Here is an 11399-nt window from a genome sequence, read left to right as displayed (position 1 = left end):
TTGAAATGCCTTATACATTTATTTTTTCTTTTTAATCAAAAGCCTTTCTTTATGTAACATTGTAATTAGGTTAATGCTGAAAGGACTTCTGGTTTCAGCTTCTATATGTGAAGAAATTGGAAGTTGTCACTTCCATTTTTACAACCATAAAAACCTAGTCAAATTGAAAACTAATGACTTTTCTTGGACTTATTGTGGAATGAGGTTGCAGGGCAAACCATCACCCTGAAATCTGGGGAGACAGGTCCCTCCAAAGAGACACAGTTAACAGCTACCTACCTAAGATGGAAGCTTCTGGAGTCATAAACTATAGCACTTTGGTGTTATGTTGGGAAATTGCTGGAGGTTGAGTGTGGATTAGCATGAGGGTGAGGTTGAGTAACTCCTGGGGAGTGCAGTCTTAGGGTGACTGCCACAATTCCATGGGTTTTTAGCTTCAAGAACCTTACTAGGTTCTCATGATGAATATCAGAAAAATCTTTTTGTAACTCTGGCAAGGAGAGAGTAATCATTGTGAAATATGCACATAGTCTTCATAATGAATACCTACTCTCCAGGGATAAAAATTTTGCCGGGAAATTGTTGCACCAAGAAGAGACAGATTCCTTTTTCTTCAACCGTCTCTAGCCTTCCTGTCTCACCGGACAGGGGAAAAACATAGACAACAGATGTGAGGGCTTTAAGAAAATAGACTATAAATTACACAGCCAAGGAAGGCAGGGAGAAAAAAAGCTATATTGTGATGAAACTCTTGTGAAGGTCACAGCACTGAGTCACAGGTCCACTAAAATATTGAGATTTAATCAGACTATAGGACACTTCTTCCATTCATCTTACCACCACACCAACAGGGCTCCAGTATAATAACAGCAGATTGCAGCCAAGAAACTGCAAGGTATATACTCTATCTAAGGAGGAGTACTTAGGGAAGCCTAAAGTCAAGAGGGGAGACACCAATAAGGACACTTGGGGGAATTTGAAGCCTCTGGCATAGCTGCAGCAAACATTAAAGATAGCCTAACTCCTACCCAGATGACCACAAATCTTCACACTAAAAACTTATTTAACCCTTATTACCTGATACAACACATCTGGGCTTTGACATAAAATTACAAGGCATACTAAAAGTCAAGAAAAACTTCTAGAGATAAAATACTACCATCAGAATCAGATTCAAACATGACACAAATTTTGGAATTATCAGGCAGGAAATTTAAAATAATTATAATTAATGAGCTAAGGGCTCTGAAGTAAAATGAGCTAAGGGCTCTAGACAACATGCAAGAACAGATGAGTAATATATGCAGAGTTGGAGACTCTAAGAAAGAATAAAAAGGAAATACCAGAAATAAAAACAACTGTAACAGAATGAAGAATGCCTCTGATGGGCTCATAAGCAGATTGGATACAGCCAAAAAAGAGTCAGTGAGCCTAAGGTTTGTCCATAGGCACTTCCCAAACTGAGATGCAAACAGGAAAAAAAATAAAAATCAACAAACAACAGAACAGAACAGTAAGAATTGAGGGACAATTTCATAAGGTGTAACTTATGTGTAATTTGAATATTGGAAGAATAAAGAGAACAGAACAGAAAAATATTTGAAGTAATAATGACTGAGAACTTTCCAAAATAAGTGACAGACTCCAAACCACAGATTCAGGAAGCTTAGGGAACACCAAACAGGTTAAATGATCAAAAACCACTTACCTCAGCATATCATATTTATATTGCAGATAACCAAAGATGAAGAGAAAGTCTCAAAGAAGCTGGGTAGGTAAAGGTGGAGGACCACTTACCACAGAAAAGCAAGGATAAGAATTACACCAAACTTCTTTTTTTTTTTTTTTTTTTTTTTTTGAGATGGAGTCTCACACTCTTGCCCAGGCTGGAGTGCAGTGGCATGATCTTGGCTCACTGCAACCTCTGACTCCTGGGTTCAAGCAATTCTCCTGCCTCAGCCTCCCGAGTAGCTGAGATTACAGGTGCCCGCCACTGTGACCGGCTGATATTTGTATTTTTAGTAGAGACAGGGTTTCACTATGTTGGCCAGGCTGGTCTCGAACTCCTGATCTCATGATCTGTCCACCTCAGCCTCCCAAAGTGCTGGGATTAGAGACGTGAGCCACTGCACCCGGCCATCAAACTTCTAATTAGAAATCATGCAAGTAAGAAGAGAATGGAATGAAATATTTGAAGTGTTGATTGAAAAATCTCACTAACCTGGAATTTTATTTTTATTTTTTTCCAAGCCAGACTGTATCCAGCTTTATTAAAGATACTTTCCACAAACAATCATGGTATTTCAGGCAGGACATGGGCAGACAGTTGTTAACAGTATAAAACAATGTTCAAACTCCCTTATTCAATGGACTACTGAAATCAAAAAACCACTGTTAAACCCAATGAAGTCTTCATCTGATGCTCTGAATGGGGAAAGTTTAGAGTAAGGGTTGACCTGTCATATATAGCATGTTGTTTAACAACTTTTCATGAGCCAACCCGGACTTTCAGGAAGTGAAATGAAAATATCAGAAGTGATCTGAAGATCCACAATCTAGAAAGGGAACCATTGCTCTTTTGAGGGGTGCCATCTCACTGGTATCACTGGAAAGTCCAGATTGCCTGACACACTGGTAACCAATTGTTGGGGGTCAGGTCCCAACAGATGTCTGGGCTTCAGGGAGTTAAGTCTATGCTGAAAGGTGGAAAGGGAGAAGAGGACATAAAAATGAATTTGTTTTTCCCTCCCACAAGGCTTTTGTGCGAAGATGGCCATGGGTGTCAAAGTCAGGGAATCCTTCCTCCTGGGAGCCAAGAGGAAGTCTCTCAAAACTAGAAGGGAAGGGTGTTTTCCTCACATCAATCCAGCTTCGGAGACATTCTATGAGTGACATATGCCTCTTCCCCCAAAAATAGTAATGAAGTGTTCTGTGTGCTAACAACATAGCTTAAAAAAAAAGTAAAACAAAATTCTGCATTTTTATAAAACTTGATAAAAATAGTATTTCAAATTGTACAGTCACCAGAAGTACACAGTTATAAAAAACGCACACATTTCACTTGGCATCTCCAGTACCTTCAGCTTTCTGTGCCTCGTCTCTTTTGGCATCCCCATTTTCTGCTGGGTTATTCCCCTCCTTGCCAGCATCAGCTTTTCTTTTCTTTTTTTTTTGAGACAGAGTCTCGCTCTGTTGCCCAAGCTGGAGTGCAGTGGCGCCATCTCGGCTAACTGCAACCTCTGCCTTCCAGGTTCAAGTGATTCTCCTGCCTCAGCCTCCCGAGTTGCTGGGATTACAGGCATGCACCACCATGCCCAACTAATTTGTGTATTTTTCAGTAGAGGTGGAGTTTCATCATGTTGGCCAGGCTGGTCTCGATCTCCTGACCTCAAGTGATCCGCCGGCCTCGGCCTCCCAACATGCCGGGGTTACAGGCGTAAGCCACCGCGCCTGGCTCCCTTTTTCCCTTTGGGTACCTTCTCTCCCTTCTTTGCAGGGGCATTTTTAGGCTTGGGCTCTGGCTTTGGAGGAGCAGGTTTGGCAGACAGCCTCATGGATCTTCTCTGTGGTTTGTCCTTCACCTTGGCTTTATCTCCTTTAGCATCACCTTCAGCCTTTCTCTTGGGCACGGTGGCGGCGACAGCGGTGGGACGTAGGCGCTGGGGCAGGATGCAGCAGGCTTTGGTCAGATCAGTGGTTGTTCTCGCCTCTTCTCACACTGCCCCTAGAATTTTATATTCAGCAAAATTATTCTTCTAAAATGAAGAAGAAATAATTTCTCAGGCCAATAAAAACTGAAAAGAAATTTTACCACCAGATACTCCTTGCAAGAAATGTTACAAGAAGTTTTCAGGCAGAAGGAAAATGATACAGGTGAGAAACTTGGATCTGTATAAAGAATGGAAGAGTGTTGGTAAAGGAATAAACAAAGGTAAAATAAAATAATTTATTTTCTTATTCTTAATTGATCTAAAAGAGAACTGTTCGAAGTAATAATAGTAACAGTGTATTGGGTGATGATTAGCATGTAGATAATTAAAATGAATGAATGCAATGTCACAAGGGGCTAGAGAGAAATTGGGACCAGGTGCTTGTTATCAGGTGCCTGCCCTACATGTGAAGAGTTATGATGTTATTTGAGAATAGATTTAGATTAGTTAAGAACATATATATGATATACTTTAGAGGTAGAAAATTTTAAAAGAAGTATAATGGGTGCACTAGGAAGATAAAATTCAATCATATCAAATACTCAAAACCAGAGAAGGAAGGAAGGAAAAGGAGGGCAAAAAAAAAAAAAAGAAAGAACAGATGGGTGCGGTGGCATGCAGTTGTAGTCCCAGCTACTTAGGTGACTGAGGTGGGAGAATCATTAGAGCCCAGGAGTTTGAGACTAACCTGGGTAACACAGTGAGACACCATCACCTTTTTTTTTTTTTTAAAAAGAAAGAACAAATGCAACCAATAGATAGCAGTGGCAAACGTGGTAGATACTAATCTAACTCTATTAATAATCACCTTAAATATAGGTGGTTTCAATACACTGATAGGAAGACCGATTTTCAGACTGGAGAGTGAATTGAAAAAATAAGACTCAACTGTATGTTGTCTACAGGTATTCCACTTCAAATACAAAGACCCAGGTTAAAAGTCAAAGTAAACATATGGAGATTAATATTGAAAGGTCTTTGTGAACGTTTGCAAAAGGTGGGGGGACATATGTCAGAAGGCAGATAAGTCCAGCCTAGATGATTTAACATTTTTGTGTAGCGGCGCAGGAATCCAGAGGGTAATTTGTTCTCACGCTGATGACTGGAAACTGTCATTTCTTATAGTGGAGGTTTTACTGGTTTCAGTGTTGCTAGAGCAGCAGCTCTCAAAATGGTCCGTGGGCCAGCAGTATTTGCATCACCTGGGAACTTGTTAGAAATGTAGATTCTTGGGCTCCAACCCAGGCCTACTAAAGTGGAAGCTCTGGGGGTGGGGCCCACAGTCTGTGTTTACTAAGCCTTCCAGGTGATTCTGATGCACACTCAGGTGTGAAAACCTCTGCTGTAGAGCACGCTTATGTGAGTGTGTTCATGCACCACATTCTGGGCATTTTCAAGAATAGGTATTCATTCTCAGACATATGCTCCCTGCTACTGCTTCCTATGTAGGGATGCATTCATTTTCCTAGTCAAACTGGAACAATGTCATATGTGTCTGAAAATCCCTTAAACTTTGCTTCCCAAGGGTCGGTTCAAGACGAGAAGCATCTGTATCTCCTGCGGGCTTGTAAAGAAGGCAGAATCGTGGGCCCATCCCAGATCTACTTAAGCAGAATCTTCATTTTTGACATGATCCTGTAAGTTTATTGTAATCTAATTAAGCAATTAGGTAGTGAAAATGCTCATTAAGAAGAACAAGCATTGAAAATTGAGTAAAGAAAATAAAACAACCACATTTATTGTCATAAAAGGGGTTCTGGACTGGAGTTTAGGACCACTGGGGCAAAGCTGAAGGGTCTAAGATGCCTCCTGAAAAAGAAAGCCAAAGGAAGTTTCCTTATAAAAGATGACAACAAAGAAGTCTTCAACCAGCCATAGCCAAGAGGATGTGATTGGGAGGGCTTTGAAGAGTTTGTCACTCCATTGTGTCTGAGTCTTTCTAAAAATTATTTTATTTCTAAAAATTTCATTATTATTATTTCAGAGCAGAGTCTCACTCTGTCACCTAGGCTGGAGTGCAGTGGTGTGATCATAGCTCACTGCAGCCTCAAGTTCCTGGGCTCAACTAAGCCTCCTGCCTCAGCCTCCTGAGTAGTTGGGACTACGGGTGTGCACCACCACACGTGGCCAATTTTTCTATAGAAACAGGGTCTCACTATGTTGCCTAAGCTAATCTTGAACCCTTGGCCTCAAGCAATCCTCCTGCCTTGGCCTCCCAAAGTGTTGGGACACAGGCATGAGCCACTTTGCCTTGACTGGGTCCAATTCTTTACTCCTTGGATTTCATACAATAATTGGGTGTCCCTTGGAGAAGGGGTGTGCTGTAGATAAAACCTGGCAAGGCTGTTTCTCTAAGACATGAGGGCATCAATCATATGGCTTTGACACTTCTGCAACAGAGCATAAGATGAAGGAAGGGAGACTGCTGTGCAGTGTTGATATCTTGGGGGTTCCAGGTTTCAGTTGTAGCAGGAGAAGGACACATCCTGGCAACATCTGGCAGGGAATAGAGAAACAATAGCAGCACTCAGATGAAGCTGACATGTTCATAAATACACCTGAGATATACCTGGGGACTCCAAAAAACACTTAAAGGGCACTTCAGGGGCATGACCCAATGAAAAATGAGTCATTTCTGCTAATCTCACCACATGAGCTCCCATAGGCTATGATGGGCTGGACAAAGTCCTATTCACTTTCAAAGACAGTTTTGTGCCTCTCTCATTTGGATCATTCCTTCTACTAGCTCTTTGTTTAGGCTGCAGAAGCATTTAGAACCCACACAAGAAAAAGCCTAGGGAGCAATATTATGTAGGAGAGTTTCCTTTGCCCCATGGTTTGATCTGTTTCTCTGCTTGATGTTCTTTATTTTGGGAAATGAGTGGCCTTAACATCCCCTTGAAATAGGTAATGCAGGTCAGCATATTTGTTAAGTTTTTTTGTACCTTCCAGGCCTTGTCCTCCTTGAATAATACAGTCTGAAATCAGCTGAAGTCCAAACTACCATATTCTCAGCTTTTATCTCATACCTTACAAGTTTCCCCCTAAGAATACTGTGTTTGCTTTCCAGAACTTTGGTTGTGTATTTTATTTCCTCTATGGAAAGATCCAGGTAAAGTTTAAATTACAGTTAATTGATAGAGGCCAAGGAGGCATACAGAAAAATTTAATTAGTTTCCAAGCAAAGTAATGTGTATTAATCTGACTTTCCACACTAGAGACTGCATATCTTAAGGTGCACACAAAATGTTCTGTTTAAACATCCAGGGTTTGAGTCATTTTCCTAGCTTATTTTCTGTCTAGACAGAGAAGAGAATCAAATCCCTTTTTAAATTATAAAATTGTTCTGTGATTAGTTATCATGCCTGTCTCCTGAGGCATGCACGGAACTTCATAAATAGTTAACACCTGTTAACGCTTGATTATTCACAGAGCAGATGCTGTTGGTGTCCCCTGCTACAGGCCCTCAGTCCTTCTCTGCTTTTGGCTGTAGTGTGGTGGGAGCTTTCAGGCAGACCACCTCCCACCACAAGCACTCATGGATCTCAGCTCTTTCTGCCTTAAGTATTTATTCAGTGTGCAAGGAGCTCACTCAGCCCACGTGCTCTAGCCTGGAAGTGTCAGGGAGTTGAGGCCTCCACCATAATCAACAACCACTGGGACAGGTGTCCATGGATAAAGGCCCTAGCCCCAGCCCTCACCCTCTCAATGATTTTGAGACCAATGGTTTTTTTTTTTTTGAGACAGGGTCTTGCAGTGTCACCCAGGCTGGAGTGCTGCAGTATAATTTCAGTTCACCTCTGCCTCCCAGGCTCAGGTGATCCTACCACCTCACCCTCCTGAGTATATGGGCCTACAGGTGTGTGCCACCATGCCTGGCTAAATTTGAGACAGAGTTTCTTCATGTTCATGTTGCCCAGGCTGGTCTTCAACTCCTGGGCTCAAGCAATCTGCCTGCCTCGGCCTCTGAAAGTGCTGGGAATACAGAAGTCAGCCACCACACCCAGCCCCTGGACCAATGATTCTGAGCTGCATTTCTGCCTGGCTCCCCTAATAGGACTGAACCTAATCTCTCATGACAGTCACCAGCTAATCAAGCACCCTTCATTGGTTCTCCCTCCTTCCCTATCTCACTCCTCTCTTTTTTCTCTCTCTGGCTTCCTGGGATCACATCTCAAATAAACCACCTGACCCATGTGTATGGTAGACACATGTGTATGGTAGATGCACCTGAGAGGGATAACTTAAGTATACACTGAGAATGGCAGACACACCTGAATGTGTGTTGGGAGTTCCAAGTGTGGCCAACCCGGCCATTCATTCCTTATCTATGAGGAACATCTGAGCTGCTGGCCCATCCCCCTCCTGAGGAACGGGGGACATACAGGGGATTGAGGCCCTTTGTTTTTGGTTAAATGAATGTTGCCAGGTGGAGGTTGTTAGGGGGAAGAGTGTTAAGTGAAAATTCTATATAAACTGCTCACTTTCCACAGGCAGCAGCCACTCTCCCGTTCAGCCTGCAGCCCCTGGGCTGCCTTGTGTGTAAGTTCCTCTCAATAAACCCTGTGTCTCTCTTGCTGGCTTTTGATCTTCTCCTCAGCCTCTCAAACTTGGTGCTGCCCCTAGTGGAGTTAGCAGGGGTCTGGCATAACACCATGTCCTTGACTCAGGTTCCACTTCTGGGGAACTTAAATGAAGAAGAGCTGACTAATTTGCAGGGATATAGGCATCTCTAACATAAGCTTATGTTTGATTAGTACTTGCCCGTAACTATTTATTATCCAAGCAGTACCTTTGAGAGCCCACCATGTGCTAGGCAAAAACTTTAGGACTGAACAAAACAAAGAATCCCTGCCCTAATGAACCTTCCACATACCTCTTGTATCTCCAAATAACCATATGAGTTAGATGTTTTTTACCCCCATTTCATGTATAACTAATGTGATTGAAGATTTCTGGCTCTTTGGGAATATAAACATAAAACAATTTTGTTTTTCCGAACACTGCTACATTTTCTCTGTGCTAAGAGTGTCTTCAGATTTCTACCCAGTGTTATGTTTCCAGCCACTTTTAGTGATGAAACAATCTCATTCCAGTTTTGTGACTCACTCCCATGCATTTTAAAACTCTAGCCTCATGATCAGTTCTAGTTTCCTCCTCTTAGTCTTGGCTGCATATTGGTAACATCTGCAGAGCTTTACAAGTCCTGACACTTGGGCCCTCCTGCCAGAGATGCTGGGGTTTAAGGCTTCAGGTGACTCTAATGTGATCCAAGATTGAGAGCCCTGCTCAAGGGGTCTGGAGGAGCAAGTGGGGAAGAGACGGCTTTCACTTATCTTTCTCCCACCCTGTTCCTCTGGTTGCTTCCCTAATACTGGAGCTCATTTCTCTCCTTGACACTGGTCACCACCATGGATTTTGCCTGTTGTTCTCTGACTCAGAGAGGATGGGCAGTGTCCAACAGGCCCACTGATGTCTAGCAGTGCCTCTGGGAGGGTGCTTGTCTGACTTTCCTGCCCTTGAGCTAACCTAAAGCTAAACTGTGGCTTCCAGTTTTATCCAACATCCTTGAGAGCTCTAAGCTCAACCAGTCTCCATAGCCTAAACCTGGGGTTTCTGGACATGGCCAAGCCTATTCTCTGTATCTCTTGGGGCTCAAACTCTAGAGCCCATTCCCAGAACCCTTTTCTGCCTTTTTATCCTGCTAGGAGTCCCAGCGCTCAGGAAAACACCAAGGTCAGTGATGTAAATCTCCCCCTTGTGGGCTCCTTCACCTTGCGGGCTTTGTGGGGAACTCTCCTGGGGCCTCCCTCTCTTCCAGGTTGGCTAAGGAAAAGTATGTCTGTCACCGTAAGCATTCTTTTGCTCCTTTCCCCACTTGGAGACCTTGTTCTCCCTCCCTCTCCTGGGCACATGAGAGGGGGGTTGGTGACTGTGGAAGTGCAGTTCTAGCTGAAATGACCCCTCTCAGCAAACCTTGAATTGGTTCCTGCTGGTGAGTTTTGAAGAAGGGCACTTGCTCTCTTTGGATTTTAGCCATGGGCTTTGGTTGCCAGTTCCAGGAAAATAATGTCCCACAGAGCCCCTCATTCCATCCTGTTACATCCTGGTGAGGCACAGCGAGCAGAACTGACAGATCCAAGGTTACTGTCAAGCTCAACAGCTCTACTAGCAGACCTGAACCCTAAGCCCAGTTTCTTTCCCCTTTGTTCTCCAACTGGGGTGTGGAGATCCCAGGGCCAAATGGGGCAGAGGTGAAGCTAATGTTCCTTCTTGAAATATCAATTTTTGAGGAAAAGTAATTGTTTTTGTATTTAAACAAATACAAGTATTATAAAATAGGATGTAACATTTTGATCAATTTGAAAGAAATCATGAGGAATTTTCTGCTGTGGCAGCTTCTCTGAACTCTACCATCTGTGTGGGTGATCTGTTGGGGGAAGTAAGGCTTGATCCTATTTACTCTCCTCTACACCTACAATGAGAAAGTTTTAGAAGCGATACTTTATAGTATAGTGTTTAGCAGCTCCTCCAGTGCTGGGAAACGCCAGTTCACATGGCCTTCATTTCTTGGGAGCACTTAAAAAAACTCCACTATGAAACGAGTGTGTGTGTGTAGGTGTGTGGTGGTTTGTGGTTGTGGCAAACAACTTAGCTGATAGAGATAAGATTGAACAAAAGGGATTCTAAAGCCCTCAGGTCCAGAAATATTCCCTTACAGTGAAGTTTTCTTCTGAGGAGTTCCTGATATTAACTCATACCAAATACAATGTATATGTCATTTATACCTTTACAACTTGGAGAGAGGAGAGGGTGGACATGATAATCATGAACTCATTTATAATCAGCTTAAAAATACATTATCTAGGCTGGGCGTGGTGGCTCATGCCTGTAATCCCAGCACTTTGGGAGGCCAAGGTGGGCAGACCACTTGAGGTCAAGAGTTCGAGACCAGCCTGGCCAACATGATGAAACCTTGTCTCTACTAAAAATATAAAACAACCAAGCATGGTGGCAAAAGGCTTAGGCAGGAGAATCGCTTGAATCCAGGAAGCAGAGGTTGCAGTGAACTGAGATTGTGCTACTGCACTCCAACCTGGGTGACAGTGAGACTGTCTCAAAAACAAACAAACACAACACACACAAAAAACCAACATTATCTTTTAGGGATGGTAGCAGATTTTCCTGTTTGTTTTGCTTTGCCTAGGCTGGGAATGGCAAATATCTTTTAATTTTCTGGTCAGCTGTGTTAGGCAGTCACTGCCTGGAGAGCTGTGTTGAGAAATTCTGAGGCCATAAACAGGAATAACAAGAAGGTAATTAGTGTTAGATTAATTACCAAAGTCAGCGGCTTAGGAGGGGAGAACAGCTGTACTTCTAAAACTTATTTGCCAAACCTGTCCCAGTATTTTAAATTTAAAAGCATTTGTTTATTTATTTTTATTTTTTGATACATTTTATTTGTACATATTTATGGGGTACATGTGATATTTTGTTACACGCATAGAATGTGTGACCATCAAGACAGAATATTTGGGTGATATACATCACCTGAGTATTGATCATTTCTGTGTTGGGTACATTTCAAGACCTCTTTTCTAGCTATTTTGAAATATCCAATACATTACTGTTAACTGTGGTCACCTAACTCTCTTGTCAAAAGTTAGAACTTATTCCTTCTATCTAACT

The 11399-nt window shown here is 42.5% G+C and overlaps 1 pseudogene; it reads right to left on the bottom strand.

Moving 5' to 3' along the window:
- On the bottom strand, positions 2244 to 3722 carry HMGN2P8 (high mobility group nucleosomal binding domain 2 pseudogene 8; annotated as a pseudogene).

Source organism: Homo sapiens, chromosome 10, assembly GCF_000001405.40.
Source record: "Homo sapiens chromosome 10, GRCh38.p14 Primary Assembly".
NCBI classification, from domain to species: Eukaryota; Metazoa; Chordata; class Mammalia; order Primates; family Hominidae; genus Homo; species Homo sapiens.
The sequence above is the reverse complement of the archived record's forward strand: the minus strand, read 5'-3'. Positions and strand labels throughout refer to the sequence as shown.